At 46.8% G+C, this 27,892-nt stretch overlaps 1 protein-coding gene and 1 long non-coding RNA gene across 3 annotated transcripts, besides 6 other annotated features; one reads left to right on the top strand and one right to left on the bottom strand.

The window, feature by feature from the left end:
• Positions 119-478: a silencer, noted in NCBI's record as "silent region_5152". NCBI's record gives its function as "represses an Ori minimal core promoter by ATAC-STARR-seq in GM12878 lymphoblastoid cells {active_cell/tissue: GM12878}" and the evidence as "EXISTENCE:reporter gene assay evidence [ECO:0000049][PMID:35858748]".
• GJA3 (gap junction protein alpha 3) lies at positions 256-23,566 on the top strand. 2 transcript variants are annotated; one of them, XM_011535048.3, is made up of 2 exons: positions 256-555; positions 18,516-23,566. In XM_011535048.3, exon 2 carries the CDS (start codon positions 18,533-18,535, stop codon positions 19,838-19,840), a length of 1,308 nt encoding a protein of 435 aa, XP_011533350.1. In that variant the 5' UTR covers positions 256-555; positions 18,516-18,532; the 3' UTR covers positions 19,841-23,566. The 2 variants fall into 2 exon arrangements, with proteins under 2 accessions (XP_011533350.1, NP_068773.2); NM_021954.4 differs by lacking the exon at positions 256-555 and adding an exon at positions 769-931.
• Positions 709-788: a silencer, noted in NCBI's record as "silent region_5151". NCBI's record gives its function as "represses an Ori minimal core promoter by ATAC-STARR-seq in GM12878 lymphoblastoid cells {active_cell/tissue: GM12878}" and the evidence as "EXISTENCE:reporter gene assay evidence [ECO:0000049][PMID:35858748]".
• Positions 949-1,038: a silencer, noted in NCBI's record as "silent region_5150". NCBI's record gives its function as "represses an Ori minimal core promoter by ATAC-STARR-seq in GM12878 lymphoblastoid cells {active_cell/tissue: GM12878}" and the evidence as "EXISTENCE:reporter gene assay evidence [ECO:0000049][PMID:35858748]".
• Positions 9,744-10,243: an enhancer, noted in NCBI's record as "H3K4me1 hESC enhancer chr13:20725717-20726216 (GRCh37/hg19 assembly coordinates)". NCBI's record gives its function as "activates a minimal SCP1, AML or CMV promoter by ChIP-STARR-seq in naive H9 embryonic stem cells {active_cell/tissue: H9 hESC(naive)}" and the evidence as "EXISTENCE:reporter gene assay evidence [ECO:0000049][PMID:30033119]".
• Positions 19,760-20,261: an enhancer, noted in NCBI's record as "H3K4me1 hESC enhancer chr13:20715699-20716200 (GRCh37/hg19 assembly coordinates)". NCBI's record gives its function as "activates a minimal SCP1, AML or CMV promoter by ChIP-STARR-seq in naive H9 embryonic stem cells {active_cell/tissue: H9 hESC(naive)}" and the evidence as "EXISTENCE:reporter gene assay evidence [ECO:0000049][PMID:30033119]".
• Positions 23,429-26,237, bottom strand: LOC124903128 (uncharacterized). The gene is made up of 2 exons (XR_007063710.1): positions 26,140-26,237; positions 23,429-25,141 (listed from the first exon to the last, which is right to left on the bottom strand). It is a non-coding gene; the product is annotated as an uncharacterized LOC124903128 (long non-coding RNA).
• Positions 24,742-25,242: an enhancer, noted in NCBI's record as "H3K4me1 hESC enhancer chr13:20710718-20711218 (GRCh37/hg19 assembly coordinates)". NCBI's record gives its function as "activates a minimal SCP1, AML or CMV promoter by ChIP-STARR-seq in naive H9 embryonic stem cells {active_cell/tissue: H9 hESC(naive)}" and the evidence as "EXISTENCE:reporter gene assay evidence [ECO:0000049][PMID:30033119]".
• Positions 26,238-27,892: the final 1,655 nt, after the last annotated feature.

The raw sequence follows: 27,892 nt of genomic DNA, 5'->3' as shown, positions 1-27,892 counted from the left end.
GACCAGATGGAGCGAGTGACCCGCGGGGACACCTTCCCGGTCACCTCGAGCGCAATAAAACAAGTTCTTTTTTTAAAAATAAGCATCCGTGTGCCTGCCGGCTAAATTAAGTGTGTCTGAAGAGAAGCAGGATGGCGGCCGCTATTTATAACCTCCCGCCCCGCCCGGGCGCCACTCCTCGACAGCACCCACGCTGTGCCCGGCGGCGCTTCCGCGGGGACTTCCTGCTCGGTGGTCCCCGCCCCGCCCCGCGCCAGCCGTCCGGAACCCGCGTCCCCAGGCGGCTGCAGGCGGGCGAGACCTAGGTGCCCGACGCCCACGCGCCTCCGACCGTGGGAGCGCCCGGAGAGCAGCTACCTCGCCGGGCCTGCGAAGCCCAGGACAGGCGCGAGCGGGGCGCGGGCTGGCGCATCTGCGTGCGGTGGGCGCCCCGCAAGCGGGTCGGGCCCGCCCCAACAGCCCTCGGCTCTCCTCTCACGTCCCGCGCGGGCATGCCCCGGAGTGCGTAGGCGGCAGGGAAGAGCCCCCGCGTCCACATCCCCAGGGCCCGCGCAGGTGCGGGATGGGGATGCAGGCGCTAGGCATGGACGTGCGCGCGGGGTAGGGTGTGGAATGCGGACGCGGGCGAGTGCTGTGGCTGCGCGTACAGGGTAGGGATGCGGGGGCGGTAGGTGTGCGTGCTGGGAAGCGCGCGGGGCGGGGCTGTTCGGAGGCGGCGGGGGCGTGGCGCGGCGTCCTGAGCTGCAGCTTGGGGGCGTCGGGCGCAGCGCACACTGGGGCTGCAGGGATGGCGATCAGGGCGGGGAGGTCGGGCCCTGGCGCGGGGCGCACGCGTGAAGCAGCACCGCACGTGTGAAAGGAATTCTTTTCAGAGCGGCCGGGAGCCCTGCTCCGGAGGAACGCACCCGGGTCGCCGCCGCGGCAGAGCGGGGTAAGGCGGGCCGGGCGCCCCGGAGGCCAGGCACAGGGGCCGAGGGCAGCGCGGGGCGGGGACGGGCGGGTCGGCGGCGCAGCGGAGCTGCCGGGCGAGCCCAGCGGGCTGAGACTGCCGAGCTGGGAAGCCGAGCCCCGGCACGTGTGCGGCTCCCAGCCCCCTAGGATTCTTTCAGGATTCTTCAAAAAGTTGTGGGGAGCTCGGGAAATTTGTGAGAAACTTTTGGAATAATTGATCTTCCTCCTTTGCTCCTGGAGGTCTGGAGAGCAGCGCCTCGTTTGGCTTCCCTTGATGGACAGTCCAAGGCCGAGTTTAAGTTGTTTTCCTGGGGTTGTTTTCCCCCTCGGGTGGAGGAAGCCGGGCTGTCCCGGACCGTCAGGCTGTAGGGCTCCTAGCGATGCTGAAATGCTTGAAAACTCTAAGCAGATGTCACCGCGCCAGCTAACGGCGCGCACCCAGCCGTCCACGGGCATTCAGCATCGCCGTGCTCCTAAAAGTCCTGTTGGGATTGTTTAGAAACAAGGTTGGCTCGCCTACATTTTTTTCAGAAACTTTTTAAAACTTTTTATTTTTAAGAAACACTGTAGCTATTAATGCCACGACCAGATTTCTCGACCTGTATGTTTGTTATGATGTGTTCAACTATAAGGAATTTGCAGAGGAGTGGAAAAGCACTGTCCGAGCCCCTTCCCGTAGGAGACTTGAGAAAACAAACGGCAGTGACGCGGCTGCATTTGCTTTGTTGCCGACTCCACACTAGTGAGCAAAATTCATCCTACCATGTAGAGTTCTCGGTTCGTGAATATGTGACTGCAACTTTAGAACTCCAGTTTTTATTTTATCAAGATGTCTCCAAAACATGCCATTTAAAAATGATTCTATACAAACAGCTGACAAGCGAATTATGGGTCTCATCACCCAGGAATTAAAAACCATGGTGATTTATGATGTGCGCATCACTTCACTGGCGGTCCATCCATGTGCAAGACAAACATTAAAAGATTAAAGAGGAAAAAAGAGGGATTTATTTTCCGAATATCAGTGTGTTCAAAGTAAACATCAGCTAGTTTGGCACAGATTCCACCTGCTCAGCAGTTTGGTTCATATCGAGATAAGCATCTCATAAGGGCAATGCATGTGTTGCTGTAGTGGAAAGTAATTCACGAAACGGTACTACTCTAACAAATCAGACAGTACTGTTTCTTAACCAGGAACCGTTAACTGGCTGAAAGCTGTCTTAAAAGAATGGCGGGTAACAAAATTTTTTGCCAATAAGGAAAATATTTTTGACCCAGTTTTCTTGAATGTTACTCACATTTTAACTTATTATATTCATTTCTCTTAGCTAAAATAACGTGTACACACTACATTTGAAACGAAAAATTACGTTTATCGCAGCCTTTTTTTTTTTTTTTTTTTTTTTTTTTTTTGAGATGGAGTCTCGCTCTGTCACCCAGGCTGGAGTGCAGTGGTGCGATCTCGGCTCACTGCAACCTCCCGAGTAGCTGGGACTACAGGCGTCTACCACCATGCCTTCTTCCTCCCTCCGCTGGATGGTAGCTATTCCCAGTACTATGTAGTACTTACATTTTGATCTGTTTTTTGCCACTCTGCCTCTCTCATAGATTGCAAATGAATCTCCTGAGAGTGAGGACTGGATCTTAATTGTTTTGCTGTCCTCAGTGTGTGGCACAGTGCCACACACAATAGGTAATAATGTTTTATAATAATAATAAATGTTTACTGAATTGAGGAGGGAAAAAATCCAATATATGTGACAACAGCATATATGTCTCTAAAAAACAGTATGTTTCTGCAATTTCTGTATAATGCTTAAAGGCAATAAAAATAATAAAGTTTCATCTTAATTTTCATTCCTACAGTGGTGGAAAATTCCTCATGATAACTAGGTTAGTACTCTACTGCTTGCTTTTTTTCTTTTTCTTTTTCTTTTTTTTTTTTTTTTTTTTTTTTGAGAGTTTTGCTCTTGTCCAGGCTGGAGTGCAATGGCACAGTGGCACAGTCTTGGCTCATTGCGACTTCTGCCTCCCAGTTAAAGCGATTCTCCTGCCTCAGCCTCCCTTGTAGCTGGGATTACAGGCATGCGCCACCACGCCTGGCTAATTTTTGTATTTTTAGTAGAGACACAGTTTCACCATGTTGGACAGGCTGGTCTCAAACTCCTGACCTCAGGTGATCCACCCACCTCAGCCTCCCAAAGTGCTGGAATTACAGGCGTGAGCCACCGCGCCCAGCCTACTGCTTGCTTTTTTAAAACTCCTGTACATCTCCAAAAGTAATGGTTGATGTGAATAGTTTCCACACTCTTATGTGTCTTATTTAATTTGAAGAATTGGTTTGCTTTAAATTTACTGTTAACAAACTAATGATACTAGATATAAAAATTAATTAGCTTTTTACATTTAGACCTCCTGATTATCTCCATGGATTATTGCTTATTTATTCCTGAAACTCCATTTCCTGTTGATTTTAAAATAAATCTTTTATTCTAGAACATAGAAGCAATTTCTGGTTACACAGCAATAGAAGTAGATTTGAGTAAGAAAAGTGAAATCATACTAATACTATAGAAATTATTTCTGCAAAAAAATAGAAAATATTTTGACAGATGTAATTTTTATCAGTAATATCAGTGGAATAATAAAATACCATAATTATCAGGTTGTGGGATTTTGTTCACTAAGCAAGAGTAAAAATATCTGAATTTACTTTAAAAAGATAATTCTGACTGGGTGTGGTGGCTCATGCATGTAATCCCAGCACTTTTTGGGAGGCTGAGGCAGGAGGATCTCTTGAGCCCAGGAGTTTGAGACCAGCCCAGGCAATATAGTGAGATACAGTCACTTCAAAATATTTTTTATAAAATTAGCCCAGTGTGGTGGTACAAACCTATAGTCCCAGCTACTCAGGAGGCTGAGGCAGGAGGATCATTTGAGCCCAAGAGATTGAGGCTGCAGTAAGCCATAAGTGTGACAGAAAAAAAAAAAAAGATAATTCAAATTTGTGATGAAGTAATTGGGCTGTCCTTAGCATATCAGTAATATTTAACCATTTTTATAAAAGATAAAAATACCCCCCTTGAGACAGTCTGGACTGGAAAAAAAAAGTGAAAGCTTAACATGTACTCCAGCCCACATTTCTAAACATATGTATTCCAGTATGTTAGAATATAATAAAATGCAAAAGGCATGTAATACATAGTGTCATAAGCTGAACAGTCTGCCTGCTGCATCGCCCATGAAGTGGTGTGGGAGGGGAAGGGAAGTTGGGCCAGGAGTTGGAGGTTGGGCACTTCTGTGCTGGTGTCAGCACTGTGGGCTGTGCAACTTTAGGCAAGTCTCAGGACCCTCTCTGAGCTGCCATTTCCCAGTTTGTAAAATAAGGAGCATAAACTAGACCACTTCTAAGGTTCATCCCTTGCCAAAATGCTAAGATTCCATATTTCTTCTGTCGATAATGAGTAAGGTTCCTGAAGGATGTCATTTGGATTTATATGAGGAAATTGCCTTTTAACTGACTGCACTGTGTTTATGAGGTCAGTGTTTGGTCATCTGTTCAGACATCATGACTTGTGTTTTAGACATGACAAAAGCCTGTTCTGATCGCTGCTATGCTGAAGCACCCCTGTAATTTTCTCTATTACTTACCCTTGCCCCAAGCCACCCCTCAGAAAGTGGGGTACTGCTAAGTTCAATTTTACCTTAAGGAAGTCACTTTTTTTCATTATTCAATTTTTAAAACTTTGAGGACTAAAACATTGAAGGAAATACATTAACACATCACTAAAATGTCTGAATAAATGTTTGGATAAGTAAATAATTTCAGTGGAATTCTTAAGTGGTTCACAGAAGTTATTAAAACTTACAATGCCCTTTAATAATTGGCAGAAGAAACCAGAGGGCTCCACTGGGAGATGGAGCTGGGAGGTCTCTGGAGGGTTGAAAGGAACCCCAGTGGGGCGTCTTGGCAGGCAGTTGTTTCTAATTACGCTGCAACTCTTTACATTTTCCTGTCAATTGAATTGAAACTAAACCAGCTGTTAATTTTCTAGCTTAATGTTAGAACTCCCTGTGGAAATGGTGCTTTAGTGCTGATTTCTAGAGGGAATATTTATTCAAGTATTTCAAGAAGAAAGACTGTAGATAAATAGTATATTTTAAATTTTGCCATTCTCGAGTATAAAATATTGAAGACAATTTTTTAAATTAACACAGCTGTTTTAATTACTTCCAGTTTAAAATTAGCTCTCACTATGGCCAGGCTTGGTGGCTCATGCCTATGATCCCAACACTTTGGGAGGCCAGGGTGCACAGATCACCTGAGGTCAGGAGTTCAAGACCAGCCTGGCCAACATGGTGAAACCAGAAATATTTTTGTATTTTCTACCAAAAATTGGGTAGGTGTGGTGACACACGCCTGTAATCCCAGCTACTTGGGAGGATGAGGCCCGAGAATTGCTTGAACCTGGGAGGCAGAGGTTGCAGTGAGCCAAGATCATGCCACTCCACTCCAGCCTGGGAGTGCAGTGAGATTCTGTCATAAAATAAAATAAAATAAAATAAAATGCCCTCACTAAGATTTTAAGTTATAAAAGGTAAAAAAAGATTAGTTCCTCCCTTTGACTAGAGATGAAAACTGTTCACCATATTTACTTTAGCCAAATAAAGATTTAAGAGCATATGACTTTTCAGGTATGCATAAAAGATTGAAATCCCCACATGAAAAAGAAAATAAAAGAAATAATAATAATACATAGATGGCAGACACTGTCGTACATGCTTTCCATACATTCTTATTTCATAAGTACATTTAAAATATAAAAATGTATAATCCTAGCAATGACTTAGAACTATTAAAGAAGTTGAAAATTAAATTTATAATATTCCTAAATCAGTTGGCTCTGGATGAGAGTAATGTTTCCTGCAACAGCATTAGATTATTGAAACATCAAGAATAGAACCCACATATCTCTGCATGTAAATTAGAAATGGAAACCCCTGGAACTATACAATAACCACATAACTTTGAGATCAAGGATACTCTTAAACTGTATATGTGTATTTTATAGTAATGCCAACAAATACTAAAATCTTCATTATCTATTGAAAAGATCTATAGGACTCCTATAGATTTATTCTATATATTATGAATATGGCATACAAAATAGGACAAGGGAGAAAATAAAATAACCTGTCATTTTTAAAAGCATGTCAAAGTTGGTTCATTAACAAAAGATAAACTAGCAAGACTAATATTTTAAATCCCCAAATAAACAATATTTGGAACCAAAGGAATTTGACTACAAACACCATAGCGTTTCAAAATCATAAGAAAATGCCATGAATAATTTTATGCCAACAAATTTGAAACATAAAGTGGAAAATTTTCTAAAAAATGTAAGTGACCAAATTTGACTTAGTAAACAGTAAACCTACGTATGTTAGTAACAGTTAATGAAATTAAATTTGTAATTAAGTCTTCCCTCCTACCCCCCTAAAAAAAAAGACATTAGTCCCAAACTCTTCTATAGGAGATTCTTATATGAGCTTATTCAGATAATTTTAAAATTTTCATGTTAAAATAACTTTCATACCAAAATCTGATGATAGGACAGAAAAGCTGAAACCAGTCTTAAATATGAACATATAAGAATCGAAAATAAAGTAGTAGCAAATTGAATGTGCTAGGATATTAAAAATAAAATCATTGATAGGCGTGGTGGCTCACACTTGTAATCCCAGCACTTTGGGAGTCTGAGGCAGGAGGATGGCTTGAGGCCAGGAGTTTGAGACCAACCCTGGCAATATAGTGAGACCCCATCTTCACAAAATAAAAATGAAAATAAAAATTAATCGGCTGTGGTGGTGTGTGCCTGTAGTCTCAGCTAGTTGGGAAGCTGAGGCAGGAGGATTGCTTGAGCCCAGTAGTTCAAAGTTACAGTGAGCTGTAATCATGCCACTGTATTCCATCCTGAGTGACAGAGCAAGGCCTTGTCTCAAAAAAATAAGGTAATTAAATCATAACAAAGAGGACTTACCCTCTTTAGTGATTAACATCTAAAAAATCACAATAGATGGAGGAAAAAAGTGTTGCATTAAAACCAGTAGTCATTCATAGTTTAAAAAATTGAAAACAGAACAAACTTTTTAGCAAAGAAAGACTGGAAGGAAATGTCTTTAGTCTGATAAAAATTAAAACATCGTGCTCAATGATAAAACTTTAAAAGCATTCATATTAAAGTCAGAAACAAGAAAATATGTTACCACACCGTATTATGCTAGAAGTCCTGGCCAGCAAAGGGAAAACAAGAAAAAGAAATAACAGGTATTAGACTTAGGAAAGGAAGAGACAAATTTATCCTTAAGAGTAGATTATTTCTATGTCTACACAGAAAATCCAAAAGAATCTATTAGAACTAGAAAAGCCTTTGTAACAGGTTGCTGGATACAATATCAACATACAAAAGGAATGTTCCTAAGTACTAATAACAATCAAGCAGAAAATTTTAAAAACTCTTCAGAACAACTGTAAAGAAGTATGGAGGGATAAATCTAATAGATGTGTGAGAACTTCAGGGACAGCATCCTAAGGCTCAGGGCATTAAAGAAGTGTCGCAGCAGTGAAGCCATTGCACTTGCTAGTGGGAAATGAGTGTACAGAAGTAAATCTGATTCATCTCTAAACTTACTGCATTTCCAATCCAAACCCTATCTTGGATTTTTGTGGGTCTTGGAAAACTATACCTAAGTTTCCTGTGTTAGAAGTAAAAAGCCAAAAATTGTCGAAAGACACATTTGGAGAACAAGGTTGGGGGACTTGTCCTACCAGATACCAAGTGCTGTATATCTAGAACTGTTGCCATTGGGTGTCCTGCTGGTGTGGGTAACAGGGGTAGCCTTCTGTCATTTTCTTCCGGAGACGAAAACTAATATGTTCTGTCAGTGTGAAACTTCAGAGATTCAGGATTTTCCTCTTTCATGCTGGTCTGTGTAATTGAACTGTGGCACTAAATTATAAGTGACTCTAAACCAGCTTTTAAAGGCCTGCTTTTCTTTTTTTTTTTTAATTTAATTTTTTATTATTATTATACTTTAAGTTCTAGGGTACATGTGCACAATGTGCAGGTTTGTTACATATGTATACATGTGCCACGTTGGTGTGCTGCACCTGTTAACTTGTCATTTACATTAGGTATATCTCCTAATACTATCCCTTCCCCCTCCCCGCACCCCACAACAGGCCCCAGTGTGTGATGTTCCCCACCCTGTGTCCAAGTGTTCTCATTTTTCACTTCTCACCTATGAGTGAGAACATGTGGTGTTTGGTTTTCTGTCCTTGCGATGGTTTGCTCAGAATGATGGTTTCTAGCTTCATCCATGTCCCTACAAAGGACATGAACTCATCCTTTTTTATGGCTGCATAGTATTCCATGGTGTATATGTGCCACATTTTCTTAATCCAGTCTATCATTGATGGACATTTGGGTTGGTTCCAAGTCTTTGCTATTGTGAATAGTGCTGCAGTAAACATACATGTGCTTGTGTCTTTATGGCAGCATGATTTATAATCTAAAGACCTGCTTTTCCTCTTGCTTGAACAGTGCTAAATGTTGAAGTCAGCCATATAGAGTACAAGAAAAGGTCTTTTGTTCCTTTTGTTATTTTGACAGGTTTGTTTTGAATTCTGTATTTTTTAAAAAGTCAGATGAGAACTATGAAAAGGGTGGGACGATGTACCAAACACCATAGGCTAGGTCTTGTGGTATCTGGAAATTACAGTCTTTAGGTGCAAAAGCTTGAAATAGGCAAGGAATGAAAGAGGCTAATGGAAGACAGTCTTGCCGGTGGCTGAAAAGATGACTAACTAGATAAGCCCATTTTCATCATATAATATTTGTGACTTAATATTTGTGACAGCTCACCATGCCCTCGTAGAAATGTGCTTAAACCAGGAATGCAAAAATGAGCATCTGAACCACCATTGCCCTGTACCAAACCCTCACAGACATTAATAGTTAAACATAGAACTCTTTCTGGGTAAGCCTACTTGTGACCCTCAAAATCCTACTCATGAGTGTTCCAGGCAATCACAAACACTTAATACAAAATTAATTTACCTAGCTTTACTCCATATTATATTACCTCTAATTTGTAAACCAAGTAACAGTGTTGTAAATTGTCAGTATAGACTAGGCGTGGTAGCTCTCATCTGTACAGCACTTTGGGAGACCAAGGCAGGCAAATCACCTGAGGTCAGGAGTTCCAGACCAGCCTGGTCAACAGCCAAAACCCTGTCTCTACTAAAAATACAAAAATTAGCCAGGTGTGGTGGTGGGTGCCTGTAATCCCAGCTACTCATGAGGCTGAGGCACAAGAATCGCCTGAACCCACAAGACAGAGGTTGCAGTGAGCCGAGATTGTACCACTGCACTCCAGCCTGGGCAACAGAGGGAGACCCTGTCTCAAAAAAAAAATTTCTTTTTAATTGTCAATATGATATTATGAGAGGGAATCAAGTGTGGTACAAATTATACCTTTTGGCTGTGACTCGTTCCAGAGACTTAACTAAAACTTGCACTTGGTGGTGATCAGCTCCTCTGCAGGTGCCCGGCCCATCTGTGCTCACCCTCTGGATGCTGTTAGACCCCTGGGCTTTACTGTCGCCCCCGTTTCCTCCTCCCCTGCCCTTCAATGATCTAAATCCAGGGCCACTTGGTGACAACTCCCAGATGTGCACCTCCAGCTTCCACACTCACACGTCTCAGGCATTTTAAACTTAGCATGTCCCAGACAATTCATGATCGCCATTTTCTTCCCCAAACCTGGACCTCCTCTGGTCTCCCCATCTTGGTAAAAGGCAGTTCCATTACTCCCGTTCTGAGCACCAGTGCTGGTGCCCTCCCGACACCAGCCCAGGGGCATGCCGGGCCTTTTCTCACACCTCGACTGCTCACATCATTTCTCTGGATTGTGGTCCAGCCTCCTTCCTGGAGGCTGTGCGTTTGCCCCTGCCCCCATAGACTGTCCTAGGGTGGCCCTGTGAGCGTGGCTACTCTTCTGTTCCATCCCTCCAGTACTTTCCCAGCACACTGAAGTGAGAGCCCGGGTTCTCTTCCCATCTGCTGTGGCCTGTCTGCCTCCCCCGCCTCAGCTTGCTGAGCTCAAGTAATCCATCCTCGCCGTCCCTTGAGCCCACGAGGGATGCCCCTAACTGAGAGCCCCTTCTGGCCTGGATCACTCTGCCCTCATACCTGAGGCTCCCATGTCCTGGAGCCCCGGTCTGCTCTGGCCTGTGCACCCCCACTGATGCTCCTCCGCGGCTTTCCACTTCTCCGGGGTATCGGGAGTCTGACACATGGAACTTCTCTCGTGTTGTGTGACTTCCCGCCAGCATGGGGGCTGCACTGGGACAGGAGACCCTGTGTTTTGTTCTACGCCGTCCTGGGGCTGGAGGCACCCCTTTGGGGAGCACGCCTCAGCAACCCTTGTTGACTGCCTGCATCTCCTGTACGTGCAGAGGAATGGGTTGTGGGGTTGGGGGGCAGGAGCTGATCTCTTCCACATCCTCTCCAGTCCTTGCTATCAAGCTTCCTTATCTCCTGGAGGGCTGAGTCCTGCTCTTGCCTGAGGAGGTGACCTCCTCTTTGACCCCACTGACAAGAGTCTTGTCAGCACTCTGGAGACCTTCTGCCCACGCCTGCCCTCACTGACTGCCTCCTGGCCGGAAGGAGCCACCTTGCTCCCGCCCCACCCTCCCTCCAACACCCTCCTTCCTCTCTGATGTCCACCACCCACACCACCCCATCTGGGGTACCTCTGCTGGGCCCCGGGCCCCACTTTTGCCCATGCTCTCTCCTTTCCTGACGTTCTTGATGTACTGAGAACAGATGGAAGCCGATGGCACTACCCATCTGCACTGCATTGACCCCTCCCCCAGGACAGGACACTTGAGGACCACAGTGGTCTCCTGCCTTCCTGTGAGGTGGACAGGCCTTTCCCTACTCCATCCTTTGGGCCCTCTAAAGGGCACTGACGCAGAGTCACCCCTGCCTCAGAGGCCCCAGCTGAGCACCACGGGCCCTGGCTCTCCAGCCTCACCCATCGGAGGCAAGTGGCTGTCACAGCTGTGCCAGGCTCTGCGGGGCCTCAGGGGGCCTTCGCCCTCCAGCCCCGCCTGGGATCGCATCGAGGGTCCCACATTGTCTTGAGAGGTGGGAGGTCACTGCCTGTATTCCCGAGGTCAGAATTTTCTAAATGAACTTTCTCAGAAGACTAAGGGAAAACAGAACAGAGTTAAAAGGATAAAACAACTTCAAAGCACACCTTCCAAAAACCTAACACAATCTAAGCCTGTGGCCTTCTCTGGGGATGCTCGTCAGGCACAGACCGAGGGTGCCTTCCCCCACGCTGTGCAGGACGCGGTCCTCCCGGCCCAGTCTTAGTCCCCACACTGCCAGACCACCTTCACACACACACACACACACACACACACACCAGGAGCAGTGGTCTCCTGCCTCCCTCTTCATCTCTGTTCTTTGCTCCGTGGTCCTGCCTGAAAGGGGAAGCTGCAGTGCAGACCCTCCTCCTGACCCCTCCAGCCCCATGCCGCCAGCTGCCTCCTGATTGTCTTCGTTCCTGTCTCCACCACTGCTTTCACAGCCACCCCCTCACCTTTCTTCCAGCTCAGGTCAGCACTTGCCCCAACTTCTTCCTCTTTAAACGGTGCCATCATTTTCCCGGTCACCAGGGTTAGCCTCTGGTTCATAGCTTTTTTATTCCCTGACTCTAGTCAGACGCTGCGTTCTGCTTTATTTTTGTCTTCAGAATGTGTCTCCTTGCTGTCCCTTCTTTTTTCCATTCGTCTGCCTGTCACCCAGCCCAGGCCTTGGACACTCACTCCGAGATTACCACGCTGTTCCTGAGGCCCTGCCTCATTCGTGAAGAGCACTTCCAGCCTGTTGCTCCCTCTCAGCATTGTTGAGGGGCTCCCACTCTTTCATTCATCTGTCCTGCAAGTGTTTATTGAACGTCTGCTATGTGCAGAGTATGGCCACAGCCTGGCTCTGCTGTGCAGAAGCCACCTTTTAAAATCACTGCTTCCAACCCACAACCCCTGTTCCCACCTTCATGGAAACATTGCTCTCTTCTGGAAATGCATTCCCTTCTCCCACCTCTTATCCAAAACTGCAACTCCTAATCCCAGCTGAAATCCCACTTTTCCCCAACTGCCCATTTTAGTATGATACGAATATCCCTTTTCTCTGAAATCCCCTTGCATGTATATATTATGTAGCTCCCTAATTTGCTGAATTTTTCCACCTCCACAAATAGATTTTTAAGATAGAGACTATTCCTTAAACTATTTCTTTCTCTTTTTTTTAAGAGACAGGGTCCTGCTCTGTCACCCAGACTGGAACGCAGTGGCACAATCATGGCTCACTACAGCCTCAACTTCCCTGGCTCAATTGATCCTCCCACCACAGCCCCCCACGTAGCTGGTACTATAGGCATGCACCACCACACTTAGCTAATTTTTTGTACAGAGGAAGTCTCGCTATGTTGCCCAGGCTGCCCCTGAACTCCTGGGCTCAAGAGATCCTCCTGCTTGGCCTCCCAAAGTGCAGAGATTACAGGTGTGAGCTACTGCACCGAGATCATTCCTTAAACTTCTTGTGTGGCCATCAAAACCTGTGGCCCAGAATTGAGAGCAAGACTGTCACTGAGGAAATAGCCATTGATTTGTCTGAGGGAAAATGCAATGGATCTTGAAGGCCAAGGGGGAAACAATTTACCGTTGAAAGGAAAACGTAACTTTTCAAAGACTATGAAAGCAGCGTCATAAATTTTGAAACATAAGACCTGTTTGTTATTCAGACGACTAAGAATCAAGGTTTTCACTGAGGCAGAACCAAAAAGATTAAGGGCCATCTCATGGGAGATCATAAACACCCTGCCACACAGTGCTGTGTAACCCCCACAGTTTTTAGGTCAGTTCTCTAAAAAGGTTTCAACAACATGGGCTGTGGTATTCTGTCATTAGGTCGCGTGCACCTTGCAAGGTTAAGCGATCACACCGGGGGCCTCCCCGTGGGTGATGAGCGAAAGCCCGTCTTTTCCTCTGCCCAGCGGTACTCAGGACACATGGTTCAGCAGCGCCTTGCCTGACCTCAGCCTCTGTCAGTCCTGGCATACCTTCTCTCATCCTCTGCCTGTACTTAGCACAGAAGAGTCTTTCTGCGACACATGTGCAACTCTCTGCTGATTTCACTATCTAGTGATATTAGGAATATGATTACAAAGTGATATCAGGCTGGGCGCGGTGGCTCACACCTGTAATCCCAGCACTGTAGGAGGCCAAGGTAGGTGGATCACTTGAGGCCAGGAGTTCCAGACCAGCCTGGGCAACATCACAAGACCTCGTCTCTACAAAAACATGAAAATTAGCCCTGCATGATGGTGCATACCTGTAGTCCCAGCTACTTGGTAGGCTGAGGTGGGAGAATCACCGGAGCTCTGGGAATTTGAGGCTGCAGTGAGCTATGATCCGTGCCACTGCACCTTAGCCTGAGCGACAGAATGAGACTCTGTCTCAAAAAAAAAAAAAAAAAAAAAAGAACCATAGTATTGGTAAAATGCCCCCAGAGCCTCTGCATGTCATCCAGAGCCAACTAAAGTCTGACGGCGAAGGGAGGTGGATACCGCATCTGCTGGGGAGGCTTCCACGCAGGTCTGATCAGGATCCAGTTGTCAGTCTCCCAGATAGATTGTCTGTGTTCTGGTTAAATTTTCATTTATTCATGCATGTGTTTTACAAAACAAAACCCAAACTGTGAAGTGTAGTCGTGAGGCTCAGATGAGTGATGGGGACACAGACACCCTTGCCCTTGCTCACTTAGAGTCTGTTGGGGAAACTGCTTTCTCCAAACACTGCGCCTGATACGGGAGATTGCCAGGCAGGAAGATGGAATCCACTCTAAACTCTCGGTGATCCCACAGTCATTATCCTCTGACATTGGGCTAAGCGTGCAAAGTGTATTGTATCTGTTTGTGTGCTTACTACAGACATGATTAAAGCAATGAACAGAGTAGAAACCACAATGAAGGAACAATGAAAAAGGAGTCAGCTGATTTTTTCAAAAGCTACAACTGCGAAAAATGAAAGCTATGGTCATCTATCTTTTATGATGAGCAGTGTGATATGTTGTCATAGAAAATGCAGAGAACTGTGAAAAGAAAAATCACCCCATTCTCAGAAGCACCACTGTTAACATTTCAGTATCATTCTTCCTTTTTCTGTGTCCACGTAAGAGAGTGTATAAAATAGCTGGTATCAGACTGTTGTGTTGTCCTAAGTTCTTGTCATTTATCATAGCATCAGTAATTTTTCACGTCATTAATGTTCTGAAAAATTACATCTAATGGCTACTTTATATTTTAGTGGTTATAAATGAACCATAGCTTTTCATTTTTACCAGACTTTATTTCATAAGGCATTTAAGATAGTGTATCAGTTAGGGATTCTTTTTCACTTGCAAGCAACAGGAAACCTAATTTGAACAAATAAGGTTCTCCCCTCACATAAGAAATCTGGAAGTGGCTGATGGGGCTGATTCGGCATTTCCACAGTTCACAGCAGGTGACCTACGACTCTCTTAACCAATCCCCTGTGCTTATTGATTCATGCTTGCCAGGTGGCTGCCCAGCTCCAGCATCACATCTGTACTGTACGTGGAAAAGAAAGGGAAAGGACAGCACAAGTACCACCTGCCCTTTTCTTAGAAAACCAAAGCTTTCCCAGACATTCCCCAGCAGACATCTTACAACTCACTGGACAGAACTGCCTTTTCTATTCACCTCCAGCCACAAGGGAGGATGAAGAAGCAAACATTTCCCTTCCCAGTCACATTAGAGTCAGGCAAGGGAGAGAAGGATGGTAGTAGGAGCTGGGTTGGCCAGAGCACGGTGTCAGCCACGGCCAGCCAGCACTGCTCAGGGAACTGTTCATCCTCTACCAGACATTTCTGTTTCCAGTCATTCCTTATGGGTAACATCACAATATGCCATGCACACACATTTACCCAAGTCTCTGATTATTTCCTTAGTAGGATGTCCTGGAAGTAGAATTAGAGGTCAAAGGTATTGTTGGATTCATGTCTCTCATTCTTTTCCAGAAAGATCCACACAGATCCCTGGTGTGCTACAACACACAGTGCCTGAATGCTGGATGCTCCTGTTCAGGAAACACTGTGTCATCCTGTCTCTGGGACACAGCCTTGGCCCCTGATGGGGCACAAGCAAGGGTCTGGCTGGTGGCTGGTCATCATTCTTGTAGGTTGCACTCAGAGGTCGCAAGGCTCTTCCAAGGGCATATATTCCAGTGTTTTGCAGCCCCTGGGCCTAAAGGATCTGGAGCAGGCTCAGCTGCTGTGGTCAGCTTCCCCATCCTATCATCTGGTTTACCAGTTGAATAAGTAGTTATTTGGCCCCATGTTTCTCAACAGGTGCACGATAGGCATTTGGGGTGGGACAGTTCTTTCCCATGAGGTCACCCCAAACACGGCAGAACATTTTGCCTCCACTGGCCCCACAGGGAAACGCCAGTGGCATTGTCCAGTCTGTGACGGGCAGCAGACCCCTCCCTCATGGTGCTCTGTGCCATCAGCCGTGTGTGGGGAGCCAGCCAGGCCCCTGTCCCAGCACCTCGTGTAGACTGCCTTTTAGCAAGAACTGCTGGAGCAAGTATGAGGCTGCTGGAAGGGGTATGAACTACCCACAGCGGCCTTTCCTCGGAAGCCTCTGGAAAGCACATTACCCAGCTACTCTGCCGGTAGACAGGGAACAGGAAAGGATGCCCATGCCTGCCCCGTCCTCAGAGCCAGGCCTAGGGGAAAGGCACAGGGAGCAGGTGTACTCTAGAGCCCAGAGGCTGCTCTTGCCCGGGAAAGCTTGGCAGGTGGGGCTGTGGGAGGATGGAGGGAGCCTGCTGGAGCGGGATGGGGAGGGGGATGTTGGGAAGAGGTGACAGCCATTAAACCAGGGCATGGCAAGGGGGAGAGAGAACCCAGGGCACCGGTGTAGGCCTGAGATGGCCACCCCTGAGGGGACTGTGTAGGCAAGGGGCAGGTCAGCAGGCAGTGGCCGGACGGAGCGGGGCTTTAGGTTGGAGAAACAGCATGTACAGAGGCCTAAAGGTGGAGTTTCAGGCTTCAGCGTGGCTGGGCCCAGGTGCTGATGGGTCTTGCATGCTATCATGGTTTTGTCCTGTGCAGTGTCTGCCCAGACGCCTGGGCAGGTAGGGGCATAGATGCCATTGGGGGCCTGGTCCCAGCCCAGAGGGACACTTGGAGGAGAAGCAGGAAGTGACCCCAAATTGTTCCCAGACATCCCTCCTGGGGGTGACTGGGTGGTTTCAAGTGCAGTAATTAAGTTTCTAAAGTAAAACATCCTACCTCCTTAGAACACAAGAAAAGATGCCAGCCACAATAGGAGATGAGAGGCTGGGAGGATGCGTGAGTAGTCCGCTTTCTCTAAGAGCTCCAGGGGTCCAAGCAGAATGTTGGGAGTTTGTTCTAAGGGAGAGTTAACATTCGTCTGTTTCTTTAGATTGTTAATGAGTAGAGTTTTCTTTTGTTGATTTGCCTTTGAACCAATTCATAAAAATTAATATTTAAAAAAAAATTTTTTTGAGATGGACTGTTGCTCTGTCATCCAGGCTGGAGTACAGTGGCATGATCTCAGCCCACTGCAGCCTCTGCCTTCCAGGTTCAAGCAATTCTCCTGCCCTCAGCCTCCCAAGTAGCTGGGACTACAGGCACCCTCCACCATGCCTGGCTAACTTATGTATTATTAGTAGAGATGAGGTTTCACCATGTGGGCCAGGCTATTCTTGAACTCCTGACCTCAAGTGATCCTTCCGCCTTAGCCTCCCAAAGTGCTGGGATTACAGGCGTGAGCCACCGCGCCCAGCCTGAAATATTTTAAAATTGAAAATGACAAGTGTTTTCTTTGGTTCCACTGGAGACTGTGTCCTCACAGCTGAGACTGCTTTCCTCACTGCAAAGCATGGAGCTGTTTTTCTGTTCCCATTCCCAGCATCCAGCCTGTTGGGGCAGCAGCGACACGGGATGCCATCTCATCTTCATCCCGTGTCTGTGGGCACTGCTGCTTTCTTAGCAGGCTGGCAGTCTCACCTCCCTCCATCCCTGTGTATGACCGTGGTCCCTGTTGTACACAGGCTGAGAGAGGAAGCTGCCTGCCTGGGGATGTTTACCTAACACTTGCTGAATTGGGCCTGGGGGTGGGCCTGCAGCTGGTACCACCCCCTCCTTGGGCTGCCTTCTTCGGAGTCACACTTCTGGGGCAGGTAGGGCTGGTGAGCCCTGCCCAACACCCATGGGCACTCTGACCCAGAGGATCCATGCTATCTCCCACACTGGTTGGGCTCCACTCACTTGCACCCTGACTGAGTCTGGGCGTGCTGTTTCTACCCTCAGACATCTGGGTACCCACGAGTGCTGTTGAGTGACGGCCACTGAAGGCCCGGCTCTGCTGAGCTGGCCCCTGGTCCTCACAGGATCCTCAAGCTCGGTTCACCCCAAGTGCTTCCTCTGCCCCCATCCAGCACCCCTTCAGCTCTGCCTAGAATCCAGTGTGGGCATTCGGTCAGGTGAGGTGATTTCAGGTGGTCGTCAGTGGATGCTGAATCATGTGTGAGAAGATCATTCCTTTATCAATTCTGTTTCTATCCTAATAGTGGCCTTGGAGAGGGGCTTGGTTTGATACTAGTTTGTTTAACACCTCTCCAATACTCCTCATCTTCCTCTTTGTAACAAGAGAGCTTACATCCAGAGCTTTTGGCAAGCAATATCCCATAGACTGTATCAACTTCATTGTCATCAAGGAATTTATTCTTTTTTAAAAAAGGGGAGTAAGTCTTTATTTCCTTACTTCCAAAATAAAGCTGGCTGAGTTGGAATATATTTACTCTTAAAGCTACCATCCATTGAAGGTATTAGTGCCGATTTTCCATTGACAGTAGTAATGTAAACTTTCCTAGTTGAGATAAATTTAAGCATAAAGAGTTGATGTGAAGACAGAAAAAGCAAATAGTAGAAGAGGTATCAGATTAACATGGCAGAAGTTCTGAAGGTGGCATGGGCATGGGGATGGCAGCAATTTGGGAAGAGGTTGCTCTAATCCCACCTGAACAGAAAGGTCATGATTCAGAAGTGGCCTAAGGGGCCGCAGAGCCCCAGAGCTCCTGTAGGGTCAGCCTCAGGGAGAGGGCTTGAGCAGTCTGGAGGCCAGAGGAGGGCATTTTCTCTTCTGGCTCTGGCTTCCTCCTCTCTGAAATGAAGAGTTTAACCTGTGGTTCCTCATGGACGCTTGCACTTGTGTAGTGCCTGCTCGTCCAGGTCCTGGGGAGCTGCGATGCCTGTCCTGTGGAGAAGCTGCCCATCAGCCCCATCCCAGTACCATCCAGGCCGCTGCCGCCGCCCATGGGTGCGGACCCGGCACTCAGCCGTTGCAGCCCGGTGTTCATGAGCATTTTCCTCTTACAGGTTAGGAATCTGAAGCAATGGGCGACTGGAGCTTTCTGGGAAGACTCTTAGAAAATGCACAGGAGCACTCCACGGTCATCGGCAAGGTTTGGCTGACCGTGCTGTTCATCTTCCGCATCTTGGTGCTGGGGGCCGCGGCGGAGGACGTGTGGGGCGATGAGCAGTCAGACTTCACCTGCAACACCCAGCAGCCGGGCTGCGAGAACGTCTGCTACGACAGGGCCTTCCCCATCTCCCACATCCGCTTCTGGGCGCTGCAGATCATCTTCGTGTCCACGCCCACCCTCATCTACCTGGGCCACGTGCTGCACATCGTGCGCATGGAAGAGAAGAAGAAAGAGAGGGAGGAGGAGGAGCAGCTGAAGAGAGAGAGCCCCAGCCCCAAGGAGCCACCGCAGGACAATCCCTCGTCGCGGGACGACCGCGGCAGGGTGCGCATGGCCGGGGCGCTGCTGCGGACCTACGTCTTCAACATCATCTTCAAGACGCTGTTCGAGGTGGGCTTCATCGCCGGCCAGTACTTTCTGTACGGCTTCGAGCTGAAGCCGCTCTACCGCTGCGACCGCTGGCCCTGCCCCAACACGGTGGACTGCTTCATCTCCAGGCCCACGGAGAAGACCATCTTCATCATCTTCATGCTGGCGGTGGCCTGCGCGTCCCTGCTGCTCAACATGCTGGAGATCTACCACCTGGGCTGGAAGAAGCTCAAGCAGGGCGTGACCAGCCGCCTCGGCCCGGACGCCTCCGAGGCCCCGCTGGGGACAGCCGATCCCCCGCCCCTGCCCCCCAGCTCCCGGCCGCCCGCCGTTGCCATCGGGTTCCCACCCTACTATGCGCACACCGCTGCGCCCCTGGGACAGGCCCGCGCCGTGGGCTACCCCGGGGCCCCGCCACCAGCCGCGGACTTCAAACTGCTAGCCCTGACCGAGGCGCGCGGAAAGGGCCAGTCCGCCAAGCTCTACAACGGCCACCACCACCTGCTGATGACTGAGCAGAACTGGGCCAACCAGGCGGCCGAGCGGCAGCCCCCGGCGCTCAAGGCTTACCCGGCAGCGTCCACGCCTGCAGCCCCCAGCCCCGTCGGCAGCAGCTCCCCGCCACTCGCGCACGAGGCTGAGGCGGGCGCGGCGCCCCTGCTGCTGGATGGGAGCGGCAGCAGTCTGGAGGGGAGCGCCCTGGCAGGGACCCCCGAGGAGGAGGAGCAGGCCGTGACCACCGCGGCCCAGATGCACCAGCCGCCCTTGCCCCTCGGAGACCCAGGTCGGGCCAGCAAGGCCAGCAGGGCCAGCAGCGGGCGGGCCAGACCGGAGGACTTGGCCATCTAGTGCCCGGGTGCCTGCCTCCAGACAGCTGTGTAGTGATCTTTTTCTTAGAAACCAAAACCAAAGTGCACTTCCCACCAGCAGATAGAACCTGAAAGTCCCAGGAGGTGGGAGCGACTGGAGTCCCAGGAGGTGGACGATGGAGGAGAGATCAGGTTTCCGTGTTCAATGCTTGCTGTTCTTAGCACTGTGAGTTACAGTGGGGATAACTCCCACTTTCTGAGTTTGGGGGTGGCGGGGACAAGGGTTGTGGGCCTTTAAGATCTTCACAGCAGCCCAGAAATCTGGTCGCTGAGGGCTGTCTCTGGGGGTAACTGTTCTGTAGTGGTAAAGCAACAGGTATCCTGCAGTCCCTTTAGCTCCTGGGCAATTGGGTTTGCTATTCCTAAGCTCTCCAGAGCCTCTGGGCGGCCCAGAGGGTCTTAGCTCTGGGCCAGAGCACTTAGCTCTATCTCTTTGATACTTTTAACTTAGAGTTGAATTTCATTTGGGATATTTGCCAAACTGCACTAAAAAAAGATTTACAGCAAGTCTATGTAGTGTCATTTGAGTTTCCGAAATTGCATGTGAAGCCCAGGATATCAAGCTTCAGGCCTCATGACAAGTGACAAAGAGCAGTTGCCCTCCAGAGGCAGGCTCAGTGGGCAAGGGCCCCAGAGGTTGCTGGCAGAAGGCAGGTGGAAACGCAGCCACGCCTGAGGCCATTTTTAAACAGTTGAGGAAATTGACATAAAAGTGTGTCGGGTATGCCGTAGGTATTTATTTTCTAAATGATTATTTTGTGCTTTGAATGGTGCAGCTATGCCTATTTTCTCCCACTTTCTTTCAGGAAAAATGAAAGAAAAATAGTGTTTTTCTTTCTTTAAATACTGTTAGAATGATTGCTGACCAAGACAGTGCTAATTTGCCCTAATGCATGCTACTAGCATCTTTACTAAAGATTTTGAACTTTCTTGTAAAAGAAATTCTTTAATTTCATGAGTCACCTAATTATAATGAGAATGTATTATATAAAACAAAAGCAGGGGAAAGTTTTAAGTGCATTCAAATAGAAGTTCTGAAGATTTTGAATGGGAAGTGAAAAGTGAACTACTGTTGCCAGGAAAATTATTTATACAGATGAATCTATGACAATCTACACTTTTAAAAAGTACAGAATAAAACACTTCAAGCTTCCTAATCATTCTTTGTGGGCAGCCTGTTTGCTTTCTCCAGTGTAAATAATATAAGTGTCTGGGGATCCCTGCCTGGGGGAGGGCGCGTGCTCATGCAGGCTGTATGCCCCATTCTGCCTCCACACCAGAGCTGTCCTGACAGGGAAGGCTATTTATGTGTGTGGGCATGGCTGGAAGACGGCAGAATTTTCTGTCCTGCACACACAGCTGTAGTATCTTGGTCACCATTTGTTTATAAAATGAACGATGGTCATGTTGAGCCTGTTTCTACTCACACTTTTCACCTCCAACTTCTACTGAGTATCATTAGCCCTTGTTCAGCGAGACCAATGTAATACATTTCTTTTTATAAATTAACTTCTCGATGATGCATTTGGGACCACACTCCAAACATACTTTCTGTTTTCTATCATAAAGGGTGCTCCACTAACAATCTGATGAAAGGAATGCAATTTCCAAGTCTCAGATTCTTGCATGCAACTAGTTTTTCATGTCAGTCAAACACAAAGAATTTGTTAGTACATTCTGCTTGCTGTAGGATGCACTGGACAGGCTCCTAGGCTTGAAAAATGCTAACTTTTCCATACGTCTCCTCAGAGACTTTCTCAACCAGATTGACAAGAGAGAAATTAGCCCTTTGGAAAACTGTGAGTGACTTTCTCACTCCTCTCCAGGCTGGTGCATAACTACAGCCATTCTAGATGCATAACTTCTCTCCGAAGTTCACTCATTACATGCAGTGTATGCCATAGGCCTAGGGCAGCAGGACTTAGTTCTTGTGAGTGATAAGGGCTGCTAGAAGATCCTAGTGTGAGAAGCATTCCGATAAAAAGCTTTGGCCATTTTAGAAAATGCAATAGCAATCATCCAAGAGCACAAGTACAGCTCAAGTACAAGTGGATGTCAATACTTGGTTCTTTAAGTTCTACCATAATAAATGTTCATAACAGTAACAAGCTTCTTATTTACCCACAATTTGATTTTGAGTGGGGTTGGAGATGAGCATGAGAACTCAAATTGTATCTAGTTTTTACATTTTAAAATTGAATTTAGTCACAATATGTTTATGGAAATGCCAGTATTGTACCATTGACCATAGTCTAGTGGGTCCATTTAGAGTGGATAGGAGTGTAGAATTAGATTCACCTACTTGAAAATCACTAATCTATAAAGAAGTGAGGTTTTGCAATAGAACAGTGCCTGTGGTGTTTTTTCAGGTTAGCATACTGATTTCAGTTCATGTAAGAAATGAACGCATGTTTCACATCCTTTTGCTCTTTGAGGTATCCATGATTCTAAAGGCTGGGTCCTTCTCTCTCAGGCAGTGTGGAATTGTTCTCTACTCAACTAGTCCTTTAAGACATTGAAACATGCAATAAAAATAGAAATTGCCTCTCTCTGTGGGCAAGATTCCAGACCTATTTTTTTCTAGCCTGGAAATTTCACTGAAACTATTTTGTTCTTGATTCATTAGAAAGTTTTAAAAAATCTCTAAGCCTATTTTAAAACTCAAATGCTATACCTATAGCATTTGAGTATTATATTTACATACATGGTTTTTAAGCTGCTGTATACAATTACTTCTTATATCCCTGTTTTTATAAAATGTTAAACATCACTATAGTTACAGTACCAAAAATCATTTTTTAAATTCTAAAACTATTACTTATATTATCACTCACTTTCTCCTTTTTAAACTTTTAATGGTTATTCTTGTATTTTTTAATAAAATTGACACGAATAAATCCTTAAATTTACAAAAGAAAAATAGCAAGCCAGCATCTTTCTCATTTATCCTGGATTTCTTCGGCTCTGGACAAGTAAGTGGATAGGTCATAGAATTCCTACACAAGAATACCTGGACTAATAACTATGAATATAATTTAAACATCACTTTACAAAAAATTAATCCAATAGGGTTTAGGTCTCCTTTCACGTTAGGCTTTTTAAAAAGTATTATTAACACTTTCTTTATTTTGTATTACTGAATAAACTCCTTTTTTCTGAATTTTTTGAACTTCTGATATTTGTAACACTAATTCATGAATCTCCACCAAAATAAATACTTATAGAGAGTATTGCATGATTTAAGAGAGTAAATGTGTTTTCCAAAGATGAATAGAGTCCTGCCACCATCACCACCCGCCACCCCTACAAATTGAGGATATCCTAAATAACCTTTAATATAGCATATGGACATTGTACATTTAAGGTCAGGGAAGGCACTTTTCTTCCTAATTTTATATTACAGTGCAAATCTTGGGTTGACTCACTTTAAGGTTTCTGACTGCCCAAAATATTTTTTCCCCTTTACGTTACAGAACATTATAATAAGGCAAACAAGTTAGGGATTTGAATAACACTCAAAGCAACAAACTGTTTCCAGAAAGTACCATATTTGAAGCTGTTTGGTGTGTAAATGTTCATTTAGCTCATGTATTTACAAAACTCTTACTAAAACTTAATTTTTGTGCCATAACAGTGTCTTTCCTGGATTACATTGTAACTGGAAGTAAGCATTTTCTAAAATAATAAAAGTGCCCTTAAGTTTAAACCACTAGTTCTGCAGTTGGTTATTTTCATTGGCAGACTCCCTAAGCAGGTATTCAAAATCACACTTTTTGTTGTCTTAGATATCATAAGGAGGAAGACCTTTTTTCCTAACAGAAGCAATTTGAGAAGTCACTGCAGGGGCTGTCCCCTCTCTCACAGGCTTTCCCCAGAGCAAAAACACACATTCTCCCAGGGTTCAAGCATTGCTGATGCCTGCAGTGAGTTCTTCTGAAGAAATAATATAAAAGTTCACCTTCTTCCTGTCTCATTAAGTCCCCCCTTGAGCAGCGTTCTCTTAAGCTTCATGGGGCTTCAGAAGAGAGAGAGATCTTTGCTTTAGGAGGTTGGAGTCTGTGGTTCTTGGGAAGCTGTCCCGCATGGAATTCTACGTAAGGGGCCCGATGTATCTACCTCTGTGACACTGTTGGCAACACTGGAATGCCTCTGATTTTCAGCGCTTGATAAGGAACGCATTTCCCACCTGCAGCGTTCCTGCTTTATGAACCCAGGTGTGAGATGATTTCCAGGGACACAGTATAACACAAAGCAGCCGGCCTGGGGCCTTGGAAAGCTCTCAAAGCTCCACACCCAAAACTCAAAACTCAGCTCTTCCAAACACAAATTGGTGGGAGTTTCCCATATTGCCGACAAGTGCAAACACCTGTCCTGATGGACAGTTTGGGGAAGACAGTCGCGGCCTGTGGAGGGAAATGTTAAACAGTCCCGGGCCGCAGCCTATGGGTCCCTTGCTCACTGCGGGCCAGGGCGGCCCGGACCCTGGGGACAGTGCGCGGGTGGCACTGACGAGACGAGACGGGCCGTGGTAAGAAGGCACGAGTGCAGCCTGGGCAACACAAGGAGATCTCCTCTCTTCAAAAAAAAAAAAAAAAAAAAAAAAAAAATAGGCCGGGCACGGTGGCCCTCGCCTGCAATCCCAGCTACTTGGGAGGCTGAGTGGGAGGGTCGCTTGAGCCTGGGAGTTCCAGGCTGCAGTGAGCCATGATGGCGCCACTGCACTCCAGCCTGGACGACAGAGCAAGACCCTGTCGTCCAGGGTCTTAAAAAAAAAAAAAGCGTGGACACACGGATCAGGACCGTTTAAAGTCTTAAAAAAAAAAAAAAAAAGCCTGGACACACGCATCAGGACCGTTTCCCTCGGGGGAGCGTGGCGAGGAAACGGCGCAGACCTGAGTCTGAGCCTGGGTTGGCTGGGCCGCTGCGCAGGGCGCTGGCACACCTGGGAACAAGTGCGCTCCGCAAATCGCGGCGGGAGGCCCCGGAGGGACGCCGGGGAACCACAGCGCCTGCTGCTGGCGCCACAAAACCCAGGCTGGCCGAGCGTAGAAAGAGACGCTTTCTGTGGGCTTTATCGTCTGCACGGTCCTATCCATTAGAAGGGAGTCTCCTCACCAGGAACCCGTAACGATCCTGTACGGTGGACAGTTCCACGCCCGAGTCCAGGTGAGCCGTTGTGGTCATGGACAAGTGGCTGAATCCTGCACCTCTCTTCTCCCACAGCATGACTTTGGGAAAGTTATCTAACGCCTTTGACTTTATAGATGATGAGTTTTCTTGTCTGAAAAATTGAAGTAAAGTTGCAAGGAGTAAATAAGAATGAACTTAAAATGCTTTGCCTAGTCCTTAACCCATAGTGATGCTTAATAAACGCAAGCCTCAGGGTAAATAAAAATAATCCGCGGGCTGACCAAAATTTTCATCTGCCTACCCATTTTTATGGTTTACCTTTATTTCAAAACAAAACAGTTTTAGGCCAATTGGCTCACGCCCATAATCTCAACACTTTGGGAGGCTGAGGAAGGAGTGTTGCTTGAGGCCTGGCGTTTGAGACCAGTCTGGACAACACAGACACCCCTCTCTACAAATAATAATAATAATAATAATTAAATTAAATTAAAATTAGCCCGGCAGGCCAGGCGCAGTGGCTCACGCCTGTAATCCCAGCACTTTGGGATGCCGAGGCAGGTGGGTCACCTGAAGTCAAGAGTTCAAGACCAGCCTGGCCAACATGGTGAAACCCCGTTTCTATTAAAAATACAAAAGTTAGCCGGGCGTGGTGGCAGGCGCCTGTAATCCCAGCTACTCTGGAGGCTGAGGCAGGAGAATTGCTTGAACCCGGGAGGCAGAGGTTGCAGTGAGCCAAGATCGCACCACTGCACCCAGCCTGGGTGACAAGAGCGAAACTCTGTCTCAAAAAAAATAAGTAAGGGCCGGGCGCAGTGGCTCATGCCTGTAATCCCGGCACTTTGGGAGGCCGAGGTGGGTGGATCACCTGAGGTCAAGAGTTCCAGACCAGCCTGACCAACATGATGAAATCCCGTCTCTATTAAAAATACAAAAAATTAGCCGGACGTGGTGGTGGGTGCCTGTAATCCCAGCTACTTGAGAGACTGAAGCAGGAGAATTGCTTGAACCAAGGAGGCAGAGGTTGCAGTGAGCCAAGATCGTGCCACTGCACTCCAGCCTGGGCAACAAGAACGAAACTCTGTCTCAAAAAAATAAAAAATTTAAAAATAAATAAATAAATAAAAATTAGTTGGGCATAGTGGCACTCACATGTGGTCCCAGCTGCTCGGAAAGCTGAGGCAGGAGCACTGCTTGAGCCCAGGAATTCAAGGCTGTAGTGAGCTGTGATTGTGCCACTGCACTCCAGCCTGGGCGACAGAGAAAAAAAAAAAAATTTATATATACAATAGAATATTATACAGCTTTAAAAAGGAAGGAAATTCTGACACATGCTACAACATGGATGAAATTTGAGGACTTTATGCTGAGTGAAATAAGCCAGACACAAAAGAGCAAACACGATACAATTCCACCTGTACAAGATCCCTAGAGTGGTCACACTCATAAAGACAGAAACTAGAGTGAAAGCCACTAGGGGCTGTGGGGAGGGGAAGGGAGAGTTGCTTCCTGGGGACAGTTTCAGTTTGGGAAGATGGAAAACTTCTGGAAAAGGATGGTGGTGATGGTTGCACAACAGTGCGAATGTGTTCCATGACCCAGAACTGTACACCTAAAAATGGTTAAAACGGCAAATTTCGTGTTATGTGTATTTTACCACAATTAGAATTTTAAAATATATAGATTCAAGAAGCCCATAAGAATCCCATTTCAAATTGAACTAAAATATATAAGGAAAATGGTGCATGCCTACGCATACAGCTTAGTGGACCTGAACATACCTAGAGCAAGAGACAGAAAATGGCTTCCTCCCCAAAGCTGCCCTCTTTGTCCCCTGTTTATGTCACAACCGCCCACCCTTTCTCTTGTCATTATTCACACTAAAATTCCTCAGGGAAAAGCAGCAGGCCTTTGGGATGGGAGTTATGGGGGTGGAGGGGTTCGAAGGGCAGGTGTGGGAGGGCAGGTGCAGAAGAAGGCAAATGGCCTGGGTACAGTCACCCTCGGCTGTCCTCATCCTGGCGCTTGGTCCTGTGTCAGTTCGACAAGCCCTGAACTCAACACAGAATACTGTTATTGGCCCCGACGTGAATCTTCTTTGAACCATTTTATGAGTTTTCATTACATTTCTAGTGAGAAAAACAAAAGGTTTATAGTTCTTTAAAAAAAAAAAAAAAAATCTAGGCCGGGTGCGGTGGCTCACGCCTATAATTCCAGCACTTTGGGAGGCTGAGGTAGGCAGATCGCTTGAGCTCAGGAGTTCAAGACCAACCTGGGCAACATGGCGAAACCCCATCTCTACAAAAAATACAAAAATTAGCTGGGCATCATGGGGCATGCCTGTAGTCCCAGCTACTTGGTGGCTGAGGCAGGAGGATTGATTTGAGCCCTGGAGGTCAAGGCTGCAGTGAGCCATTTTCATGTCACTGCACTCCAGCCTGGGCGACAAAGTGATACCCTGTCTCAAAATTTAAAAAAAGGCCAGGCGCAGTGGCTCACGCCTGTAATCCCAACACTTTGGGAGGCCAAGGCAGGTGGATCACAAGGTCAGAGATCGAAACCATCCTGGCCAAAATGGTGAAACCCTGTCTCTACTAAAAATACAAAACTTAGCTGGGCGTGGTGGCGCATGCCTGTAGTCCCAGCTACTCTGGAGGCTGAGGCAGGAGAATCGCTTGACCCTGGGAGAGGGAGGCTGCAGTGAGCTGAGATTGTGCCATTGCACTCCAGCCTGTGTGACAGAGCCAGATTCCATCTCAAAAATAAATAAATAAATAATAAATAAATAAAAACAAAAATCTCTCCCAAAGGCAGTTTCTATGGATTTTTCAAAATAAATTGCTTTAGTCTTGGAAAGCAGTTTCATCACAAAAAGCCATGCAGGTCCCTGGGCTTGGAGGGGTGG

Source organism: Homo sapiens, chromosome 13 (assembly GCF_000001405.40).
Source record: "Homo sapiens chromosome 13, GRCh38.p14 Primary Assembly".
NCBI classification, from domain to species: Eukaryota; Metazoa; Chordata; class Mammalia; order Primates; family Hominidae; genus Homo; species Homo sapiens.
This window is presented reverse-complemented; position numbering and strand designations above follow the sequence as displayed.